Source organism: Homo sapiens, chromosome 11 (genome assembly GCF_000001405.40).
Source record: "Homo sapiens chromosome 11, GRCh38.p14 Primary Assembly".
NCBI classification, from domain to species: Eukaryota; Metazoa; Chordata; class Mammalia; order Primates; family Hominidae; genus Homo; species Homo sapiens.
The window spans coordinates 44885317-44909135 of NC_000011.10; the positions used below are offsets into that span (position 1 = coordinate 44885317).

The 23819-nt window shown below is 51.8% G+C and overlaps 1 protein-coding gene and 1 long non-coding RNA gene across 9 annotated transcripts in view, besides 3 other annotated features; one reads left to right on the plus strand and one right to left on the minus strand.

The window, feature by feature from the left end:
- The window catches only part of TSPAN18 (tetraspanin 18), a 206114-nt gene that overhangs the window by 159007 nt on the left and 23288 nt on the right, over positions 1 to 23819 (plus strand). For 6 of the 8 annotated variants that reach the window (XM_047427847.1, XM_047427846.1, XM_047427849.1 and 3 more), the window contains 2 exons: positions 12436 to 12512; positions 21091 to 21163. In XM_047427847.1, coding sequence (XP_047283803.1) covers positions 12493 to 12512; positions 21091 to 21163 — 93 coding nt within the window. In that variant the 5' untranslated portion in view covers positions 12436 to 12492. The remainder of the gene's footprint in view (positions 1 to 12435; positions 12513 to 21090; positions 21164 to 23819) is intronic. The other 2 variants (XM_011520459.4, NM_130783.5) reach the window with 1 other exon arrangement.
- Positions 249 to 749: an enhancer, noted in NCBI's record as "H3K4me1 hESC enhancer chr11:44907116-44907616 (GRCh37/hg19 assembly coordinates)". NCBI's record gives its function as "activates a minimal SCP1, AML or CMV promoter by ChIP-STARR-seq in naive H9 embryonic stem cells {active_cell/tissue: H9 hESC(naive)}" and the evidence as "EXISTENCE:reporter gene assay evidence [ECO:0000049][PMID:30033119]".
- Positions 750 to 1250: an enhancer, noted in NCBI's record as "H3K4me1 hESC enhancer chr11:44907617-44908117 (GRCh37/hg19 assembly coordinates)". NCBI's record gives its function as "activates a minimal SCP1, AML or CMV promoter by ChIP-STARR-seq in naive H9 embryonic stem cells {active_cell/tissue: H9 hESC(naive)}" and the evidence as "EXISTENCE:reporter gene assay evidence [ECO:0000049][PMID:30033119]".
- Positions 7858 to 8429: an enhancer, noted in NCBI's record as "H3K4me1 hESC enhancer chr11:44914725-44915296 (GRCh37/hg19 assembly coordinates)". NCBI's record gives its function as "activates a minimal SCP1, AML or CMV promoter by ChIP-STARR-seq in primed H9 embryonic stem cells {active_cell/tissue: H9 hESC(primed)}" and the evidence as "EXISTENCE:reporter gene assay evidence [ECO:0000049][PMID:30033119]".
- Positions 15822 to 18523, minus strand: LOC124902664 (uncharacterized). Its single transcript, XR_007062659.1, has 3 exons — positions 18464 to 18523; positions 18040 to 18343; positions 15822 to 16002 (listed from the first exon to the last, which is right to left on the minus strand). It is a non-coding gene; the product is annotated as an uncharacterized LOC124902664 (long non-coding RNA).

Sequence of the window (23819 nt, forward strand, 5' to 3'; positions counted from 1 at the left end):
CTGGAGAAGATAATGATGATTGTTACTATTATTTTTTTTTCCCCCAAAGAAAAGTAGAAATATTGTCCTGGTGCTCTGAAAGGGTGACTCCTTGCTTATCCCTGGGCTTCCTGGTGGGATTGCCAGCGTCCTTCCGGGCCTGGAGAGCCTGACGGGTTGGTGGAGCTGGTGACCGGTCCTCTGTGGAAGGATGAGGCATTTCTCAGCTTCCCTTTGTTTCAGCCCCCTGCCTGTCTCTTTCCAAGCCCAGCCCTCTCCCTCCCCCAACCCCTGAAGCACATCTTTCTTTATGACTCCAAGGAGCAGCTGGGATGTTTTTTATGGGGAGGAAAGAAAACAGGACTCTCTGACTCCCTCCTGTCCATCTACTGAGGCCCAAGCCCCAGGTTCTCTCTTTGATTCATTTCCTCGCAGGCTTTTCTCAGCCACGCAGGGTGCTTCTGTCACGGTCTCTCTGTCTTCCGGTTGTTCACCCTCCATAATTTGAGCTCTGAGTACCTGTAGTCATTCCTCTTATGGGAAGGGGTTGTGGCCGCCCCTAATTCGGGCCAGGTGACTAGAATCAATTGCAGTTGCCCTGAGAAGACCCTCTGTCTCCAGTATTTATTACCAAGCAAATATCAATGGGGCAGATGCCCTGTGGGGTGAGGCCTGGGACTGGGCTTGATTTCTGCTCTGATGACAGTTCCTGGGCCCTGGGGGTTGGGGGAAGCCTGCCTTGGAGCTGGAGGATGCTGTGAGAAGGAAGGGAGGCCTCCACTGTCTGCCTGCCTTCGAGGTTCAGGAAACTTGCCCTCCCTGGGACCGGAAGACACCTGTTGCCTCTGGATCTGGAAGCTTCTGGGAGCTTCAGGCCCTTGAGTTCTGAGAGACCTCTCCTTCATGCTGCACACGAGCATTATTCAGGCAGGAGGAGACGTGACACAAGACCAGCAACGTCTCTTTACTGAACACAGGCTGAGAGCTGAGAAAGCTCATTGCAGAGAGGAGCAGACAAAGTGAAATTGATGGGACATTGATGGCAGCTTGGGGTAGCTGAAGGAGCTGTGAAATCAGCAGTAAAATCAAATGCGCGCCACTTAGTTCATCCCAAGCAAGCACGGCTCCAACACGGCTGTGTCATCTCAGGCAAACTGCTTAACTTCTCTGGGCACCACTCCTGGGGAAATAGAATCATCTCTGCTGTGCTGGCTTTGCTGGACGGTTGTGGGGATCAAGCAAGAACATAAACACGGAGGGCTTTCGGGGCTGTGAAGCAGAGAATCAATGCAAAGAGATGTTTTGTGATTCATGTAAAGGAGGAAGGAATCTGGGTTAGATGCCAGGAAGGACTTCCCCACTTAAGGAGGAGACGTGGGAATAAGGTTGTGGGGGTTGCCTTCCTTCCTAAAGATCTGTAAGAATAAGGTCAGTTTGGCTGTTGAGAAACAGTCTTGATATTCACAGAGGCATTGGCCAAATGACTTTGAATGTCTTTTTCATGACACTATAGTTAGTTCATTCACGCAGGAAAGTGATCAGTGGCCATATCAATATGTGCACATAAGTGTGTGTGTGTGATCTGCATCCACAGCTTGTCTGTGTGCCTGGGTATATATTGTCTGTGTGGGTTTGTTTGCACGTGTCTCTGTGTGTAGAGCAAGAGGCTGGAGCCAGAACTCCAGCTGACTCATCTTCATTATGGAGTTGTTGGAAGAATTTACTCTTGCTGTCCTAACCAACTGGGGAGGACTTGGACAAAGTACCAGAGTGAAAAAGGATTTTAGATTTGATTTTTATTTTTTATTATCTGACTTTCTAAATTTCGGCTAATAAGAGCTAGATGAAGAGCCTCAGCTCTGGAATCGACTGCTGAGGCCTGAATCCAGGGCCCCTGCCCCATGCCCCAACCTCTGATCTTGGCTCCTACTTCCCCTCTCAGGGCCTCAATTTCCACATCTGTAAGATGGGGGTGGCAATGCCTACTTGATAGGGACATTGCAAGGGCCAAGTGAATTAGAACATGCAACGTCCTTAACCCAGTGCCTGGCCTGTAGAAAGTGCTTCATACATGCTGACTGTACTCAAAGAGCACTGGCTTTGGAGCTCCTCAGCAGTGGTATAGCCTTGGGGGAGTCACTTCATCTCTCTGACCCCAGTGTTCTCAGCTGTCAACTGGGAATAATAATATGCCTGACTCATAGACTATAGTGGGGTTCAAAGGAGATAATGTAAGAACTTAGCACAGTGTCCACTGCACAGTAGGCATTTAGGAGGTAAAAGTAAGTTTCCTGTGTTCACCTGCAAAAGGGAAACTCTCCCTGGGGCCCGCCTTTCCCCTCTCCTGACCCTTGCATAGCCCCAGTGTGGAATTCTGTGTCTCACCCTCTCCCTGGGTTCCAAATACCACCTGCTTTATCCTGTCTGACACTAAATGCACCAAGGAAAGCCGGAAGCTCCCTGCACCCTTTTCTGCTGGGGTAGGGCTGGGAATGAGGCTGTGCTGGCAGGAGTACCCAGCGCTCCCCTGGCTCAGAACTGTGCCCTTTCCCTCCTAGTTCCCAGGCCCCCTTAATACCCGTGAAGCCATTAAATATTTAAATCTGGGCAGTGTGGTGGGCCAGGTTGTCCCAGCAACAGCCCTGCATATTTTGGGATGGATTATTGTCTTTCAAAGGGTCTTTTTCAGAGCTCCAGGCCCTGGTGGGGATGCAATGTGGGAAGGGAGGAGGTGAGGCAGCTCCTGCCCCACTCTGAGGCTTGGCTGTGAGAAGCGGCAGAAACTGAGTCAGAGAGAGGGCAGGCTTTGCCCGAGTTTTCAGGGTCTTGACTCTAACCCAGGACTCGGGGCTGCCAACTCCTCCTCTTCACCACTTGCTTCTGCCTTGTGAGTGCCCATCAGCCGGCAGGTGCCCGGGACTTTAGCAGCCATGTGCCTTCTGGCATCTGAGACCCTGTTCTTCTCTCACCGACTGGGCCACGTGGGAAGCTTACTCACCTTCTCTGAGCCTCAGTTTACCCCTGGGTAACTCAGGAATAATTCACCCACTTTTCAGGTGATGTTGGAAAGTGCTTAGTATGGTTCCTGGCACACGTGAAGCAGGAGCAGTTATGACACTGACAACATTATTATAATGACTGAATCCTTATTGGGGGGCACCATCTAGTACCCCCTGTATTCTCTGAAGGGACTCAGAGGAAGTGGGAGAAACAGTCCCGATCACCAAAGGGTTTATAATCTGGTAGAGAAGGTTCAACAGCAGCGAGTCCAGAGTCACCTTTCCCTGGGGCTGGGCTTGGCTTGGGCTGCATTTGGAGGTTGCCTGGTGTGTGGCCAGGAGTACCTAGGTTGGAAGCCTTGGCTACACCATTCAGCTCTGATTTTGCTATGAGCCTCTTGGCCAGTCCCCTCCCCTCTGGACAGTCTCCTGAGCTGTAGAATTGGGGTAACCTCTAAGTTACTTTCTGGCTCAGCTCCCTGTCCAGGATTTGAATTCCAAGGCAGCTCTGAGACCCAGGTGGGATGGATGCACCAGAAAACCACGAGGATGGTGATATAGTTTGGCTGTGTCCCCACCCAAATCTCATCTTGAATTGTAATCCCCATGTGTCGAGGGAGGAAAGTAATTGGATTATGGGAGCAGTTTCCGCCATGTTGTTCTCATGATAGTGAGTGAATTCTCACGGGATCTAATGGTTTTATAAATGGTAGTTTTTCCTGTGCTCACACTCGCCTCTCTCTCCTGCCACCCAGTGAAGAGGTGCCTTCCGCCATGATTGTAAGTTGCCTGAGGCCTCCCTAGCCATGCCTAACTGTGAGTCTTTTAGTTACCCAGTTTCATGTATTTCTTTATAGCAGTGTGAGAACGGATTAATACAGATGGCCTGTTTCTCCCACCCTTGGTCCTGGGGGCACCCCCTTAGGAAGTGGGCCCAAGAGGATAAGGCCAGTCCTGCAAGGTCCTCCTGGTCCCCATGTAAACCCCTCTCCTTGAAGATGATTTCAGGGCTGAGGTGGACATCTCAGAGTCCCTGACACACCCCAGCCATAGGCTCCAGCAGGGCTCACAGCATCTCTTTCCCTACATTCCATTCCCCACCACAAACCTCTGGGTAAGCAGAAAAGGCCATGGCCACCTCACACCCCAGCCCCAGGCTCTCTCTGGAGGCAGGAGGGTTTCCAGAGAATAAAGTCTCCATTCCAGACACAGGCTGGCTGGCCCCAGCAGGAGGCCGGTGGCATCAACCATCCAGTTTGGGCTGCCTAGAAGAGGAGGGGGCAGAGGCCAAGAGCCAAAGCCCACATGGGGTGATGTCAGAGAACCTGGGCTCTGGCTGCTGGAAATGACCTGGAAGGGTTCCATGTGGGTTTGACTGGCAGTTGGGCCATTAGCTGATGACTTGGATGTCCCCCAGATTTGGGGGCCATAATTTTCAGCTTGCTTGGAGCCCTGGACCCCAGATAAACCTCAGGGGCCTTCTCATCTTGTGGTCTCTGAAGCTAACTTTGTAGACCTCCCAGGGATATGAGAAAAACAGAGACTCTTGGGCCCTTCATTGAGCCTGCAGAATCCAAATCTTAGGGCTAGGTCCCAGAGGTCTGAGGGTTAGCAAGCTCCCAGGGGCTTTTCCGATGCTGACTGGCTCCCTGTTCTCCCTGTGACCCAGAATGGCTGGGGCTGCCCTAGGCAGGAAGATGGCCACGGTCCTGCCCCACAGGCTCGTTCCATGGAGTTTAGGGTTTTGATCCCCAGCCTCTTTCCTGTGCACATGGTCCCATTTGCTCCTGCTGCAAACTTTTTGTCCCTCTGCTGAGAGCTGGGGCTAAGGAGAAGGATGATCTGGGGGAAGGACGGGAATTGTTGAGTGGCAGATTGGACTGCTAAGACAGATGAGGTGAGCCATTACCTTCAAGGCCAAACGAAGTTCTCATTCTGGGGTCCATGTATTCCATAGAACTCAAGGGATTGGTGAACTTTGAGAAACATATTATAACTTCACTTTAACGTTTCACTGAAAATGGGTATTTTCTTCCATTATGAACACAAGCAACAAACCACAGTACTGTTAGCAGTACTTGTGACTTTGTCATCAACAGATCTAAGTACATATTTTCAAATTACCTAAAAATTGCTGGGAATTTCTTGGCCGGGAGCAATGGCTCACGCCTGTAATCCCAGCACTTTGGTAGGCCAAGGCAGGCGGATCACGAGGTCAGGAGATCGAGACCATCCTGGCTAACACAGTGAAACCCTGTCTCTGCTAAAAATACAAAAAATTAGCTGGGCGTGGTGGCGGGCGCCTGTAGTCCCAGCTACTCGGGAGGCTGAGGCAGGAGAATGGCGTGAACCCAGGAGGCGGAGCTTGCCAGCCTGGGCGGAACCCAGGAGTGAGCCGAGATCACGCCACTGCACTCCAGCCTTGGCAACAGAGCAAGACTCCAACTCAAAAAAAAAAAAAAAAAAAAATTTGCTGGGAATTTCTTAAAATGATGATAGTTATTAGATCCATCACTAGATCTTGAGTTTTGCATGTTTATTTAAAAAAAGCACTTGTATTATTCTACTCCAAATTTGCTTTTAAAAAAGTATTTTGGTTGTGCACAGTGGCTCACGTCTGTAATCCCAGCACTTTGGGAGACCAAGGCAGGAGATTGCTTGAGCCCCAGAGTTCGAGACCAGTCTGGGTGTCATAGGGAGACCCTGTCTCTACAAAAAGGGAAAAAATTAGCTGCGCATAGTGGCATGCATCTGGAGTTCCAGCTACTTGAGAGGCTGGGGTGGGAGGATTCCTTGAGTCCAGAAGTTGGAGGCTGCAGTGAGCCATGATCATGCCACTGCATTCCAACCTGGGCAACAGGGCGAGACCCTGTCCCCCAAGATAAAGTTTCTGATAGCTCTATTTCAATATAAATGGTTTCCTTTTTAATCTTATGTATTATATTTAGGTGGGGTCCAGAGGCCTCACGAGACTGCCGAAGGGTGGGGGTGGATGGGAGAGATCCTTGCTAAGGGGCTAGGTGCTGGGCTTTGGAGTCAGGCCAGATGGCTTTTGCAGCCTGACTGAATGATGTGAGGTAGGTTGCACACCATCTCTAAGCCCAGTTCAATTACAGGTCAGCGGAGAGTGGACACACCCTCTAGATTCTTGTAAGGACCTGTATGCCTTTAGTTCAAGGCCAGGTGTACAGAAAGAGCTGTGGAAACCCAGGCTCTGGTTAGCATGAAATTTCCAAAAACCTTCAGGGAGGCAACCTGGAGGATAAGAAACAAGACTCAGTCCAGGTGAGCCAGAGCAGGTGTTGCCAGAAGCTCTGGCTTGTGCAAGGCTGGGCAGCGGACACGGTGAGGATTGGTGGGACTGCTGTGGCCGTCAGCCCATGTGTGTGTATAGGGGGTTCCTGAGGGACTAGGACACAGGGACGCTTTGGAGCAGCCAGAGCAGGGCTATCCATCACCAGAGGAACTTCAGAGGCTGCTGCTGGCTGATCCCCCAGACCTCAGGTCTAGGGGTCACTCCTTCCATTCTTTCTGGCCAGTGAGGCTCCTGCAAAGGCCAAGGATGCTCACTAAATGGGAAATGAACAAAAGCACGAACGTAGGCAGGAGTGAATGAATCAAGAGTGTTATGGTGTGAATTACCACAAGAATAGTGGTTGGTTGGAGGAAGCTTGTTCTTTGACTACTCAGGGAGGCCACTGAGTGGATGCTCTCTGAACCCCAGGGAAGCAGCCAGGCCACCTGCCCCCTTGTGCCTACAGCCCCTTCCCCAAGGCTGTGGGAGGCTGCGGGGCTGTCTGCTCTCCCCACAGCAGGCTGAGTCAACCTTCCTTCCTATCCCCTGGTGCTTATACCATCTCCCAGAACTGGGGTTTCCCTGCCACACCTGGATGTCTGCTTCTCTCCTCCTGGTACCTGCCTTTCCCCAGATCACCAGTTTGGCTGCCAGGCACCTTTCCTGCAGGGCTCTGCTGGGCTCACATGACAGGGTGTAGGTAGGCATCCTGAGCAGAGAGGGTGGCTTCACTCTGACCCGCGCCATTCCTCCCAGGCCCCTGGACTTGGTTGCTTGGCCTGCTTCAACTACACTTGGCTGTTGGAGGTGGACGCTAGTGTCCTCAGGCCAAACACTCTTCCTAATGGAGTGACCTCCGTGCTTCTGTGCTCCCCCCAATTTCAAACTGCGTGGGTTTCCCAGGTTGCCTTGCCTTCTGACAAAGTGGCAAAGTAACAGTCCCTGAAAGAGGGCAAAGAGCTTTGTCCGCAGAGGCCTTTGCAAACAGGTGGTCTCAGTACAATGTCTAGTGCCTAAGACAGGCAGAGGGACCTCCGACCTGTGTCTGGGACTGGCACCTTCTGTGGCTTAAGTCCAGCCCCGGTCTATGGGGGATGGGAGGCATGGATTGTTTGAGGGTGACCCTGGGGATTGGGGGCTCAGAGTCCTCTGGAAGACAGCCAGGGCAGAAGAGCCAGGAACCTTATTTTGTCCCAGCAGGTCCTCCAACCTACTGTGTGACTTCAGGCTAGTGAGCCGCAGTTTCCTCATCTGTAAAACATGACTGCTCACCTCGCAGGGTAGTTGAGAGGGTCTGATGACATAAAGTGTATAAAGCACTTTCAGGAGTTACCTACGTGCAGGTGTAATAAGTCCTGGGAGGCTGCCTCAATTGGTGGGAAGAGCAGCGGGCTTCATGTCAGGAGGTCCTCGTTCTAGCTGTGCTGTGTGACTCTGGGCAAGAGCCCGTCCCTCTCTGGGCCTCAGCTCCCGCAGTGTGAAATGAGGAGTTGGAGACAACCTTCACTAAGATGCTTCCTTCTTTGACGATTCTCTGATGGCCCTGTGGGTGTTCTACATGGGACAGAGGAAAGGGCTGGTGGCAGGGACAGGGTGCCCATCCTGGCTCAACTCACAGACTAGAGAGGGGTCCTTCCCAGAGCCTGCAGATGCTCTGTGCCACCTTGACATTCACAGCTCCATGAGCCGGCGGGGGCAGGGGAGGCTGTCATTTAGGATCCAATTGCATCCACAGCAGGCTGTGCTCCTGGTTAATCCTTAAGGCACCCGCCCCTCAGGAGCCTAATTAGATTTTATCCCCCGCTCAGCTGTGACCATGTCCCCATGTTGGTGCCAGCACCAGGCACGCCAGGATCTCAGGCCAATTGCTTGTTTATGAGACCGTCTGTCTTGGGATGAGGCCCAGCAGGCACAGCCAGTGAGCAAATAAGTCCTCCCCATCAGCCTTGAACCTGATGGCAAGAATCATTGTTAGTCTTCTAGGCCTCGGGCCGGCGTCCTGACCAAGGAAAAGATGTGGGTTTGCAGTCCAGCAAAACCTGGCTACAAATCCCAGCTCCATCTCTTCCCAGCTCTGGGACCTTTCTAGCCCCATGAAGCTTTAGTTTCCTCATCCCTAAAAGGGAATGATGATAATATCGTCTACTTTGTAGAGCTTTTTGGAGGATCAAGTGAGATCATTTTAAGTGAACGCCCATAATACATTGCCTTGCGTTAATATCAGGCCTTAGTAAATGCTGACCCTGTCCCAGTCCTCCCCACATGGCCTCCCTGATTCTAGGCTCTCCCGACCCCAGCCTCACCCTGGCAGTCAGGGTTTCGTTTCTGTATCTTGCCTGGCAAGCCCAGGACACTGGGTTAATGTGGCCATTAACACTTCTCTCCAAGTAGGGACTGCGGTGATTGAGTCTCACTAGACTTGAGTGAGTCCTTGAGGAAGGGCAGCCCTTGGTCCCTATGCCTTGGACCAAGCCCAGGGCTGGCGCTGTTGGTGCCGGGAGCGCAGGAAGGAGGGAACGGGGTGTGCAGCCTGTCAAGTCCTTTCACCCTCATCATCCCCTTGCATCCTCCTGGAAAGGATCCTAGAAGTTAGTTCTGAACATCCCCACCTCCCAGATGCGGAGGTGAGGCTCTGGAGGTGAGGCGTCTGGCTCAGGCTTATGGCTGGCACAGGCAGATCCCCCACTGGTGGGAACGCAGTTGCAGGGGAACACACGGTCCTCTGAGGCTCTGCCCTTGGCCACAGCGCCCTCTCCTGGCCAGGGCACGTGCAAGCCCTTTCTCGGCTCTGCACCAGCCCAAACCTTCCTCCACTGGGGGCTTCTCCATCTCTCTTGTCCGGCCGCCTCCTTTCCTTCTCTCTAGAAAGCATGCCTGGGGGCGGGGGGGAGTGAAAGTAAAAGGAGTGATTTATGAACTGAGCTGTTCTTCTTAATCAGAGAGCCCCTCCTGGGCCCCTGCTCCGTGCAGATGGGGCTGAGCCGCCATCTGGGCGACAGGAGGGGCGAGATTAATAAAGCTGTCTGGCCCGGGCAGGGGTCCGCCGAGGAAAGCCCCGAGGCACTGCGTGACCTCGGTCCCATCTCTGTGCCTTTCTGGGCCTCAGGGCTCCCATCTGTCAAGGGATGGCCGGCCTGGGCCATCCCCAAGGGCCTCCAGCTGGCTCAGGGAAGAAGTTTAGCCAACTTCCTGGGCCTCTGTGCCTCGCTGCCTGGTTCAGGGAAGAGCAGCACTGGGCTGGAGACTTTGCAGACTGGGGCACGGCGCTTCCTGTCTCTGGTGCCACACCCCACGGATAGGTGTCGTATCAGGAGCTCTGGTTTGGGGTCCAGCTGACTTGGGGCTAAATCATAGCCATGTTTTGCTAACCAGGTAAATGAACTCAGACGAGTTAGTTACCCTGCCCACGCTTCAGTTTCCTCATCTGTAAAATGGGATAATAATAATACCCACCTCCTAGGTAAGGATTAAATAAGAGGACAGGTAGGAGAAAGGTATAGTGGAGTCTGGTACATGGTAAAACCTCAATCCTAGTAGTTATTAGGCTCAGTTACCACAAAATTGTGGCAATTTGTTAGAATTTGGGTCTGTTTAGGGGAAAGATGTTTGTATCCACGCTACCCAAGCCATGTGTCCATGGTTCTCCCCTATACCCTGCTCCATTCATAACTGGTGAATGTGGGCTGGGCATCCACTTATTTCCAATATCTGATGCTGCTGATAATAATAGCTCCCATGGTACTGTGAATTCTTACAACCACCTTTGGCTTCCAAATTCATCATCACAGTTTTCCAAGGAGAACCTAGCACCTTGGAGAGGGGGGTGACTTTCCCAAGGTCTCCAGGGAGCTGGCCAAGGCAGAAACCAACCCAGCCTCTGCAGAAGCATCAGTGATGGGGTGAGCATGGCAGGTGTCACTGGGCTGTCCTCTTCCAGGACAAATGAGCCAGTCAATAGGATGGGGGCTCACAGAGGACAAAGAAAAAAAGGGAAATGAAGTTAGTTCAGGGAAGTTGGGACACCACAAGGGGTGAGCCCATTCCCAGCCAGGGTACAGCATTCAAAGGGGCTGGAGCTCCCTGGTGGGGAGGAGGCAGGCAACCGCCAGACATTCCCCAGAGTTCAGCATCTCCTCCTTGTCTCTGGGTTGGCCTATGTCATCCATGTTTCTCATATCAGCCTCAGTGTCCAGACGGAGATGAGGCAGGGAATGGTGATACAGGGGACCAGGACTGGGATGCAGCAGGAGAAGAGAAGCGGCAGGAAACCCATCACCCCGTCCTTGTTTCCCTGAGCCCTGGGGCTGGGCATGGGGTGCAGGCCCTGAACTACAAAGCTGGAAACAGCTTGAAATCTCCCGAGGATGCTTGGCCTTGTCACTGGCATCTCCAAGCCTCAATTTCATTCTGTAAAAACCACTCACCTGTGTGCCCATGGTTATTTGCACCTTGCACTCCCTGGCACTTCCCCGGCACATAGTAGCAACTCAATGTACATCTACTCAGTGGATGGTAGATGGCTGACTGGGTGGATTGAGGGAGGAAGGGAGGGATGGGTAAATGGGGAGGAATCTTTCACCCACCACCCCTTCACTGACCCCAGTGAACCTGTGGTAGCCTGCCTCGTGGGCTATTGTGAGGATTCATTGTGATCACACAGGAAGAGAAAGCACTTTCTGTAAACGCCACTTTTGACTCTGACCCCTGAGTTTGGATTCCAGCCCCATCACTTACCAACAGTGTGATGTTGGACAAGTCAATTCTCTCTCTTTTCCCATTGGACTCAGTTTCCCCATTGTACTGTGGGGATGATGGTGTGATACCTACTTCATAGGGTTGTTCTGAGCATTTCATGGGCTCACGCATGCCAGCACTGTACCCCAAGTGCACGGAGTACCTGAAGCTGGTGCACACAGATGGGGCAGGCAGTTGAAGGGCCTGTCACATAGGTATGTTTAGGCCAAATAGGGGTGCCAGCTCCCGGGGCTGTGGCCATGTCTCAGGAGGGAGGCCTCTTCTCCTGCCTTTCCATCTTCCCATCTCTACCTCTGCACTCCCCCAAGACTAGCCTTCACCATCCCCTTCCCCACAGTTCCTCTCCCCTCTGCCCAGAGTTATGCCGGTGGAGTTAGTCCTCCCCACTGTGGGTTCCCCAGCCCTGCTGTTATCTGCCTCCTTGTCTCCTCCACGCTGCCACCACCACCACCACCACTACCACCACTCACTTGTGTGCCCATGCTTATTTGCACCTCACACTCTCTGGCACAGCCCCTGGCACATAGTAGCAACTCAGTGTACGTCTACTGAGTGGATGGTAGGTGGGTGAGTGGGTGGGTTGAGGGAGGAAGGGAGGGATGGGTAAATGGGGAGGAATCTTTCACCCACCACCCCTTCACTGACCCCAGGCAGGCTCGTACTTGGAGGGATTTTGGATAGACATGGATATCTCTCCCTTCCTTCCCTAGGAACACCCCCACAGCCCAGGCTTCCCCAGGTCCCAGGTCTTCCTGGGACTGTCCTCTAACCCAAAGTTTGAGCAGGAGCTGGCTGTGGAATTCCCCGCAGGAGTGATAGAACAGGAGTCTCCATATGGGCCTGTTTTGACTTCTGAAATCGAACCCTCATTTCCACTGCTGGGAGCTGGCCCTCTGAAGGAACCTTCTCACAAATCCTTATGCAAAGCCAAGAAACACTTTCCAGCATCAAATCTCTCTCTCCTGGGAGTCTGGGTTTTGGGGGAGGAAGTTGATGAACAGGGCCCTGCTGGCACTCTCTCTGCTGAAGTATTGTGGATGCCTGGGTGGCATCCATGGATGCAGGTTACTCACACCCATCATCTCCTCCCAGGCCATCAGCCTCATGTGCAGCCGTGTCAGCATACATGAAGCCCATGCTAGAATCTGCAAGTCTATTAAAGATGTGCCTTCCAAGGCAGCACCTGCAAAGGCACCCAGGAGCTGCCATCTGGGCAGAAGGCCACTCCCCCGCTGGAGTGGCCTCAGGTGCTGAGAGCTTTTCATGAGCTCTAATGGGCCCAGATTAGCAGGACAGTTGCCCCGAGTGTGTGTATCTGGAGGGCGGGTTTTCATAAACAGCTCCTTTCATGGGGCTGCTCTTTATTGACTTCCTGTAGTAATTGAATATTTTCTCTTATTGGACAAGCTGGGCCGATAAAAGAAATATACACAAGCCTCGCTGACGGGAGAGTCTGTCCTGCTGATGCCCGAAGAACTGCCCAGGTGACACATTGGCAATAGCCTCTCCCTTCTCAGTGTACCTCTGCCCCATCACCTGACACGGTCCCATCTCCACTCTGATCCTTTCCAATCTGCCTGTTTGCCTCTGTGTCTCCTTCGGTCTTTCCCTCTCTTTCTGACTTGGCTTTGTGTATTTCTCTGATTTGCTGACTCCACTGTCTCTTTTTGCTCTTTTCCCACTATACATTCATTCATCTATTCATCCAGATATATAATTGAGGACCCACTATGTGCCAGGCACTGCTCCAGACACTAGAAATAAGCCAGTGAACAAAACAAGTCCATGCCTTTATGAAACATGCATTCTAATAAAGGCAGATGCATGCTCCCAAAATAAATAAGTAGCACATAGCGTATGTGCTGTACCCACAGGGCACTGGGCTGGGCTTCCAAGTTCATATCCATGACTAATTAATTGGTTTTGGAACTTGGCCAAGCTCCTTTTCCCTCTCTCGGCCTCAGTTTTCTCATTTCCAAAATGAGGGTATTGGGCTAGATCGTGCTTCCCAACCTTTGACGATTAAGAACTTCTTTTATTGATATGCTGGTGATGTAAGTTACACAAGAGCTGGATCTAAGTCAGCACTTACACAAACAGTAGTGTCAGAAGTTTACCTGAAGTTCCCTTGAAATCCTTTGTCTTAGTGTGTTTTCTGTTGCTATGACTGAACACCTGAGACTGGATAATTTATAAAGAAAAGGCATTTATTTCTTACAGTTCTGGAGGCTGGGAAGCCCAAGGTCAAGCAGCTGCACCTGATGAAGGCCATCTTGCTGCCGGGGGACTCTTTGCAGAGTTCTAAGGCGGTGCAGGGCATCACATGGCGAGGGGGCTGAGAATGCCAAAGTGGCTTTTATAACAGACCCACTCTCAGGATGACCAACCCACTCCTGTGATAACCCATTAATCCATGAGTGGATTGATCCAGTCATGAGGGCAGAACCCTTGAGATCCGATCACCTCTTAAAGGCCCCACCTCTTCATTATGTTACATCTGGTATTAAGTTTCAATATGACTTTTGAATGTGTGTCACATTCAAACCATAGCATCCTTAAACACCTGGTTTTGTTTTACACGAAACAGTTGGCTGCATCTGAGGGTCATGTTGTATTAGACACCCATCTGTAAGCACAGGACCTTCCCATGGCCAGATGAGGGTTGCTGTGACAGGCACATGAACCTTCAGACCACAGGATCCACAGAGCAGATCCTGAGGCAGACGTCACATGGAAGGACAGGGAGACCACAGCACCTAAACTGCTCTCCAGTGCTTTCCGGGTACAAACAGGGAGTGGAATTCCCACTAAGTCAAGCTTGCCTCTGATGCTGACTCCTGCATTTCATCCCTCTGAGCCCCAGGATTTAAAGAATTTTATGCACCAAATAGCATGTTCGTTTTTGTTCTGCAAAGTCATACAGACATGGTGGCCAGATATTCTGAACAACCCAATAAACAAGGTCCCCACCTGGGGGTAGTCTAATTGCTCCAAAACCCAAGACACTTGCCCCTTGAGTCAGCCCATGGTGAGAGGTTGATGTCTGAGATGTTATTTGAAATATTGAAAATAACTTTAGGATGTTGCTAGTCTCAGGAACCCAGTTTGAGCACCATTGAACACAGTCACTCTCCCTGCTTCAAAATCCTCCACCCCAGAGTCCTCCCCTCTCCTGAGGCTGAAGCTGATGTGCCTGGTGTCTAGGAGAGCAGCTGGGAGGAGCCACCTTGTGGCGGGGCAGGAGGGAGGAACAGAGCCCAGAGCCAGGATGGAGCCACCATGTGTCAAGTGCTGTATGAGGGACTGTACCTCTATGATACCATTTCATGCTCAGCACAATTTCTAGAGGAAGTCAGCATTCCTGTCCCCATTTTGCAGGCATGAAAGCAAAGGCCTGGAAAGGTTATGTAGTTCACCCATAGTCATGAGGCAAGAAAGTGATAGGCCGGGTCCCACCTGACCCTACAGGCCCCACCCACACTGCTACTCTCCCTTCAGGGACCCTTTAGCTCAGGGAAATTGGGAGACTTTGATGGGCCTCCCACCACTGGCCCCAGGGAGGGCATCATGTCCCACAGCAGACAGGCCCACCATCTCCTTTCTAAGTGCCGCTTTTTTGAGCAATAACAAAGCTCTTGGACCTCATAGTCTCAATTTTCTTCTCGCCCCACCCTCCAGAGATTCTCCATGGTTTCCCTCCCTTTAGAAGTAAGTTAGGAAACTGTGCCGTGAAGTTAACTTCTAGAAGTCATCCATGGATGGGTGGAGCTAACAGCCAGGCAGGGATTGGAGGTCCCATGTGTCTGTCACTCTAGTCTGACCAATTGGCTGTGGAGGTGTGTCCCCACATTCAGTAGGCCTCTATAGGGGATGGAGCAGGCAAGCCCTGGTCTCTAGGCTTCAGCCTGGCGGTGGGTGATGGCCTGGGAGGCTGTCCCTGCTGGAGAATAATGGGAGATCAAATGGCATAGGTGGTGTGAAGACAGGTCTGCACTTTGGAGGAGGATGGATGAATGGGGCAAGGGAATTCTCATTCATTGAGAATGCTGATTAGGAGTTGTGGCCCCAGATTAAGACAGGCGTGGGTTCAAATTCTGGCTCAGGCACTTCTGTACTGTGTGACCTTAGACAAGTGATTCCACCTCTCCGAGCCTCAGTTCCCTCCTCTGAAAAATAGAATGACATTACCTACTTCCCAGAGCTTTACAAGGATTCAATGAAATTGTGTGTGTTCCCTGGCACATAGTAAGAACTCAGTGTATGCCAGTGGTTACTATTATTAGCTACCATGTGCCAAGCCCTGTGCTCAGTATTTTCCATACAACTTGAGGAAGGCTTTTTTTTTTTTTTTTTTTTTTTTTTTTTTTGAGATGGAATTTCACTCTTGTTGCCCAGGCTGAGTGCAATGGCATGATCTCGGCTCACTGCCACCTCTTCCTCCTGGGTTCAAGCAATTCTCCTGCCTCAGCCTCCCGAGTTGCTGGGATTACAGGTTCCTGCCACCACCCCCAGCTAATTTTTGTTATTTTTAGTAGAGACAGGGTTTTGCCATGTTGGCCAAGTTGGTCTCAAACTCCTGACCTCAGGTGATCTGCCCGCCTCAGCCTCCCAAAGTGCTGGGATTACAAGCGTGAGCCACCGCGCCCGGCCGAGGAAGGCATTGTTTTTATCCTGACTTTACAGAGAAGGAATTCAGTTGTATGCAGTTTAGTAACTTGCCCCACCAGCTAAGCTTGGCAGAGCTGGGACACAATCCCCTGTTGGGCACCAAAGCCCTCTTTTTACTCATCCACCCTGCTCTGAAACTGGAACCCGGGCCTCCATATTCTTCACCGGCCCCCAGGCTCACATCATCTATTTTCCTACCTGACTCACCTTTGAGGTTGTGGGAGGCTCTTCCCAGGAGACATGTCTCCTTTGATTGCATTTGTCTGGGAGCCCAGCACTCCGCAAGCCCGGGCCATGAGATGTAATCTGCAATGAATGTGGTACACAATAAATACAGGTAGTCCGTTTATGAGCTGCCATATTTATTACACCCCTTAATTGCTAAAGAGCCAGAGCCGGCTGAAGCTGGATCCTACCCTGGAGAGAAGCTCTGCCTGGGTGGGCAGAGGGAGGGATGGCAGAGCCTGGCCTCCTGCACAGGACTACTCAGCCTCTCGCTGTTGTGGCTGCTCTGCCTCCAAAGGCCCATTCATCCAAGTCAGGGCCTGGCAGAGGAAACAGTCAGGCCATCAGATTCCTGCTCTGCCATTTGACACAAGAAGGCACTGAGGCCAGAGACAGAAAGTGATTTGCCCAAGGTCACACAACAGTGACTTACAGAGCAGAAGCCTGGGCTCCAGACTCCTAGGCCAGTGCTCCTTGTGCCCAACTCTCTGCTTGAACATCTGCTCCTGGATCAGGTAGAGCACAGGATGTGGAGTTGGGTGAGTGGTGTTTTTGAAGCCCAGTCTGTGCATACAAGCTGTGTGATACTGGCCAGGTTACTTGACCCCTCTGAGCTTCAGTGTCCTCTTCTGTAAAATGGGCATAGTACGTCCTGCTTTAGGGGCTTGTTGAGAGATTAAAGGCAGTCAGTTCTGCGGAGTTGGCATGTGACTGGCCATGAGTCAGTGCTCAATAAATGTTCTTTCCTATCCTCTTTTCCCTTTCCAAAGGGCACAGGGTGACTGAAGATGCACGGAGCTGAAGTCAGCCAAGAGCTGAAAGGAGAGATGGGTCAGAATAGAAAGCTCCGGGGTGCAAGGCATTGTCCTGGGTTTATGGTCTAACAGGGAACAGCAGGCCTATGAGTAACCTATGAAGGCAGAGTTAGGTGTAGACGTGATAAGAGCTGTCCATCCTGCTCTGTGCAGGTACAGCGGGGAGCCCTTTACACTGGATGTTTTTATAGGTGAAGAAACTGAAGTTCCAAGAGGCTAAGTCACTTGCCCAAAGACACAGAGGTAGAAAAGGTGATGGGCTGGGATTCGAACCCAGTTGTGTCTGACTTCAGAGCCCATGCTTAGGACCATGCTGGTTGGATGCAGGTTAGATGTTCCTTCTAGAAAGTCAGGGATGATGTGAGGGATGTAGCTGGCAAGCTGGCCTGGAAATGGTATCCTGGGGGACCGTTCTGTAGGAAGAGAGCCTGGGCTTGGTGACGAAGGAAGAGCCAAAGGCCCCACAGTCAGTGATGATGGTTGAGATGCTTAACAGCCAGTATGCACTGGCATGAACCAACCAGAAGAGATGCTGGCCAGACAGCAGGACAGCCATCCCTATGGGTCCCCACTGAATCTCAGCCCTGCCCACTGCCCTCTGGGAGGGCAGGGCCTGGAGAAAAGGAAGGGATAGGTTGTCCTGGTGCCTCCCATCCCAGGCAGGCACCAAAGCAGGCAGCTCTAGGCTTTCAGGCCTCAGGAAGACCTGAGGAGAGAAGGGTGAGCAAGCGGGGCATTAGGGGGGCCTGTCCTGGGCTGTCCTCACCCAGGAGAGGGTACAACAGAGAGAGGAAACGGAGCACAGGAGAACACGACTGTGGGTTTGAATCCTTGTTGCTCCACTTTCTAGCTGTTGGAGGCGAGGAGGATACGAATGACTGGAAGCATGCCTTAGCCCAGCACCAGGCTTCCTTCACACTGCTGAATTAACACTCCCTATGTGGAGGGTTTTACTCAGTCCAAACCAAGTGCAACCCTACTGTGTCCCAGGAGGGCACAGCCACGACTCTGCTCCTCTGGGATTCACCAGGAACGCTGGCTGATGATGTTATGGTATATATTTTGGTGGGGGCAGTGGTAGATGTCAGCAGAAGCCGTGGGATATTATACTAGGGGAAGGCACTGAGCTTGGCTTGATGGGGGCAGGAGGGGGGAATCAGGGAAGGCTTCCTGGCGGAGGTGATGCCTGTGACGAGTCTTAAAGGATGAATAGGAATTAAGTGGGACTGGCATAGTTGGAAAGGCAATCCAAACAGAAGGGATCAGCATGAGCAGAGGCACCAAGTAAGCGTCAGGGACATACCTCTGGGGGACTCTCCTTTGATGGTGGTGATAGGAAAGTCAGGGCAGGAATAACAAGAGGTGGCGATGGTGAGTCTTGGAGGTCCTGTGGTCTGTAGGAGGCAGCTTGGTCTCCTGTAGAGGTTGGGTTCCAGCAAGAGAGGGCTGTGGTGACATGTGCTTTCTGGAAAGCTCCTTCTGGCAGCAGGGAAGCACTGGATTGAAGGGGAGGTAGGGAGGCCAGTCCCAGCCCAGAGGCTGCAGCCATGTCTGGATGAGAGAGAAGGCCAGGAGCAGGGCTGAGGCTGGAGATGTTTCAGAGACCCCTGTGATAGAGAGGATGATGTCATCCGATTTTACCTCCAAAGGCAGATGGCATGTCTTGAATTCAGGCCATGCTCACTGAAGTAAAGACAAATCCGCCCCCCACCCCATCACACACACACCATCCTTTGTCCTTCCAAGCTGGATTGCCTGGGTTCCAATCTTGGCTTCACCACTCACTAGCTGTGACCTCAGACAAGTCACCTCGCCTCTGTCTGACTCAGTTTCCACCTCTGGAAAATAAGGATAATAAGAGTATTAATCTCATGGGTTGTTATGAGTTAGTAAATGTAAAGTATCAGGACGGAGCTGGCACATAGTAAATGCTCAATAAATAGTATTATTTGTAGGGGTGGAGACTTGGGTGGATGATCTCAGGAAAACCCTGATTTCCCATTACCCCAACACAATTTAAGAGAAACCCTTGGGGCACTGTTGGAAGGACAAAGGCTTGGAGCCTGGAGTCCCTGGGTCAGGTTCACCCCATGATTTTTTCCCTTGCATTCCTCACCAGGTAACTTGGTGCCTCAGTTTCCCCTTCCTAGTAAGAGAAGAAGGAGGATGTCCCAGGTGGGCTCTGAGTGTCTTCCCCTCCTGACTTTGATGCTGAGTGGCCCCGCCTGTGCCTCCCCTGCTCAGCATTTTTCCAAGTTGCAATAGGGACCAGTAGAGCAGCAAGGAGGAGGTGTCCCTTTAGGGAGGAAAGCCCTCCGGCCCCAGGGCCAGTGCCAAATCCAAAGCCGATGTGCCTGTCAGACCTTCCTCTTGGGCTCCAGGCACCTTAGCCATGTCTGCCTGGCCAAGCTCAGCTGGTGGACAGACATCTGGCACCTTGGCAGAAACAACGAGAGGAGGGACGCAAGGCACCACCCCTGAGACCAGGAACCTTTCCTGTGTCGACTCCCCACCAGCTGGCTCTGTCTGTGCTCCTCTCTCCATGGATTCAAATGCACTTAAAAACAAACAAACAAACAAACAAAAACACCTCTAGCTCAGACCAAAATGCAGCCTGGAGTGGTGCTGTCATCACTGATTAGGAGAGGGGTGGAGTGGCCCAGCAGGTGAGAGGCAGGCACCGCTCTGCTCCATCTGTTCCTTATGATACGAGGGTGCTGGTCTGGCTGCTGAGGAGAGTGTTGGATTGTGGTTTTGGGCGAGGGCGAGGAGGGGACAGAGTTGCTGAGGCCTATTATGTGCCATGGGCCTTGTCAGTGCTTCCTACAAGCTGTGTGGCCTTGGACAAATCCCTTAACCCTTCTGAGGGCTGGGCTGATGGAAGGATGTGTGGTCATCAGAGTACATACCTCCTTGGTGGTTACAAGGATTAAACGAGATAATATGCGCAAAACCCTGGGCACAGTGCTGGATCCCCAAACAGTGGCTACGATTATTACTGTTTTCCTGACTTCATTTTAAATTGATGAATAATAATTGTATATGTTTATGGAGTCCAATGTGATGCTTTGATACACATTTTACTATTATTAATATTAATAATAAGCCTCCCAGAAACCCTTTGAGTCAGACTTAGCAACCTTATTTTGTGGAAGAAGAAGATAGAGTACAGCCATGTCCTGTGGGAGGAAGCGGGAGCTGCAGAAAGTAATCAGACACCATCTCCCCTACATCCATCCACACCCCAACACATATTCCCAGAACCCTTTGCACTGAGTCCTGTCATGGAGGTACAAACCCCCTGCTGGAAGCACCTGCAGTGCCGGCAGCTCAGGACTGGCTTGAGTTCTGGCCCTTCCCCTTACTAGCTGTGGGACATCGGACATGTCGTTTTCATTCTGAGTCTCGGTTTCCCCACCTGTCTCATGGATCTCTAATCCCTGCCCTGAGTCTCTCCTCAGAGCCGTTATGAAGAAAATGTGAAAATAACGAATATGGAATGTAAACATGTCTTGTGCACCTTGAGGTCTGACTCATGAGAGCAGATGCTGTCAGTTTCCCCTGGGGGATGGGGGACATTTGCATCTCAGTGCAGCCCCGGCTGTGCCTGGCAAGCAGCGGATGCTCAATCAATGTTGGCTGAATGGAATTGTGTTCAATGACTTGCTGCCATGGGTATACTTTTAGGTGAAGACAGGAAGGGCTCCCAGGGAGGTGGGATGCTAGAGGTCTCAGAGTAGAGGTAGCCAAGGCTCAGGGAGGCTTTGGCCCCAGAAGCAGGTTTTAGATCCCCAGGTAGGCTGCTCTCCTTTTCCCTGCAACACCCCATCTCGCTGGCACCAAGCAACCGCCCTGGTCTGTTCTGTGGCTGGAGGGTGTGTGGGTTGGTGGGAAGTTTGTCAGGCCTGGCTTCTGGTCCAGGCTCTGGGCCTTGGTTTTCTCATCTATGAAATGGCCAGCTCACACCTGCAGTAGAGCAACAACGTGAAGCGGGACTGCTGAGCACTTACCACGTGCCCGACGATGTGCTAAGCATGTTACTGTGGGATTTCAGTTCATCTTCACAACACTGCTAGGAGGAAGGTTCTGTTCCTAATCTCCGCTTTAAAGTCAGAGAGAGCAAGACTCAGAGAGGTAGAGTAATTTGCCCAAGGTCACATAGCGAATGAAAGCTAGAGCCAAGGCTGAAACCCAGGCAGGCTGGCTCCAGCATGCTCATCTCTATCATCGGCCTCCATCTTCTTCCAGCCTTTGCAAGGGTGGGGCTGGCTGCGGGGAACCCCTGGGGAGGGGCTGGGGTTCTTCCTGGGTGGGGTCCCCCATCGGGAAGACTGAGGTGGCCTTGTATTTCTAGGTGGAGCACCATGGAAGGCGACTGTCTGAGCTGCATGAAGTATCTGATGTTTGTATTCAATTTCTTCATATTTGTAAGTATTCCTGGGTCTTCCCAGGCCTCTGCTGGGTGGGCAGAACTGGCTGCTGCTTTGAAATAGTCACACTGGGCTGAGTCCCTGGGGCGAGCACAGGGGCCGGCGCTAGAGGCAGGGGTACCTGCCAGCCAGGCTTTCATGGAAGGGGGCCCCCAGCAGTGCCCACCCCACTCTGAAGAGCCCACCTTCTTAGGAGAGACATTTTACACAGGCCCTGGGGTGGGTCAGCCCCTCTCAAAAAGGTGGAGGGGACCTAGGTCCGGCCACTGTCTTGGGATCTGACCCCTCGTGGAGAGTGGGAAAGGAGGGGATGGGGGTGATCAGAGGGCAGCAAGAGGGAGCCCCACCCAACCTTATCTCCCTGAGCAGTTGACGGACTTCAGACCTGGAGGGGCCGAGTCCATGTAGCCACCGGATATAATCAGAAACCTCTCTGGGAATGCAAGACCTGCATTCAAATTCCAGTGCTGCATCTTAGCAGCTTGTGATTTGAGACACATTTCACCTCTCTGAACCTCAGTATCTTCATCTCTTAATGACCTTCCTCAACAGGCTTTTTGAAAATTAAGCAAGATTAGTTTACAAAGTACCCTGGATGTGGGCAGTCCTCAATAGCTTAGCTCCATTTCCATCTAGCCTATGGATTCTGTATATGAAGGGACAGCCCCGGACATTCAGGTGGCCGGCCCACCTGCTGGCGGCCCACCCACATGCTGAGCCCACCCACCTGCTGGTGACCCACTGAAGGCTCTGCTCAGACTCATGGCCCCTCCCAGGAGTAGAGCTGTGGCCCTGGATTCTTGGGCCCCCACAGGCTTTCCTGGTCCAGCCTCAGGCTTTGATCTTAGTACAGCCAAGACCTGGGTGAATAAACCTCCACTCATGTCCTTCAGGGCAGGCTCTTGAAAGAGGGGTCCTCTTTCTGGCCAGGACTGACCGTCTGTCTCTCTCAGTGTCTATCTTTCCCTCTCTATCTCTACCTCTATATCTTTGTGTCTTTTTAAAAAATATACACTTCAGCAACTCTCTTAGCTTCTCTTCCCTGCCTTATAATCCTAAAAAGCCTCAAGCCTTGCAGACTTGAATTCTAGACCCAAGGTCACCACCTTCCAAGCCGGGTGACCCTGAGCCAGCTCATCCTTCCTCCAGCCCCAGTGTTCCCACCCGAAATGGAGCTGGGCCCTCCTTGAAGTGTTTAGCATGCAGTTGCTGAATCCCCAAATCTCCAACAGCAATAAGGAGGCACAGATTTTCCTGGAGGTTGTGCGGGAGACCAACGAGAGAGACACAGGCTGGGTGCAGTGGCTCACATCTGTAATCCCAGCACTTTGGGAGGCAGAGGCGGGTGGATCACCTGAGGTCAGGAGTTCGAGACCAACCTGGCCAACATGTTGAAACCCCATCTCTACTAAAAATACAAAAAGTAGCCATGCGTGGTAGCGGGTGCCTGTAATCCCAGCTACTCGGGAGGCTGAGGCAGGAGAATCGTTTGTACCTGCGAGGCAGAGGTTGTGGTGAGCCGAGATCGTGCCACTGCACTCCAGCCTGGGCAACAGAGTGAAACTCCGTCTCAGAAAAAAAAAAAAAAGGAGAGAGACACTGCACAGCAGATGGCAAAAATGGAAACCCTGTCGCTGGCCATGCCTGTTAAGTCTTTCCTTCTCTTTCCCCTGCTGGGTCCTTCAGGCCTCTCCACTGGACTCCTGCCCTAAGGTCGCCTACAAATGCCCCTTGCCCAAAGCCATCAGCTCTCTTCAGCTTGCAGTCCTGCTCAGCCAAGCCAAAGCCCAGCAGTTTTCCTGTCGCCCAGCTGTCAACCCTCACACAGGCCTCTTGGGCCTCCGGTCCTCCCACCACACAAAGGGATTTCAAATACTTTACAGCCCGCAAATCCCATGGTGCCAAACTTTGGTTCTTCCCACAACAGATCTGCTTCTAATACTTATCTGTGCCCAAGAAAAATGGAATAGGCTGGGCGCAGTGGCTCACACCTGTAATCCCAACATTTTGGGAGGCCAAGGCAGGAGGATCACTTGAGCCCAGGAGTTTGAGACCAGCCTGGGCAACATGGCAAAATTCAGTCTCTATAGAAAAATACAAAAATTAGCCGGGTGTAGTGGCATGTGCCTGTAGTCCCAGTTACTTGGGAGGCTGAGGTAGAGGATGACTTGGGCCCAGGAGGTCAAGGCTGCAGTGAGATGTGATCCCGCCACTGCACTCCAGCCTGGGTAGCAGAGCAAGACTGTCTCAAAAAAGAAAGAAAGAGAGAGAGAGAGAGAGAGAAAGGAGAAAGAAAGAAAGAAAGAAAGAAAGAAAGAAAGAAAGAAAGAAAGAAAGAAAGAAAGAAAAAGAAAAATGGAGCAGATATTTATTGAAATCTGCTAAACGCCTTCTATCCTTTCTTCCTTAGGGCTGCCTTAGGATGAAGGTGTTTGAGTCTTCTTTTGACCACAAGGAAGCTAAAAGGCTCAGACAGATTTTGACACTTGCCTAGGGTCACACAACTAATAAGTGGCACAGCTCTCTCTCTAGACTACGCTGCCTCTTTCCAAAGATAAATAAGGCATAGAGAGCCCATGTTGATGGAGACATAAATAAGAAATCTTTTGAGCTATGGATTTGAGAGTGGGGAGCCCACTCTCAAGTTGGAACC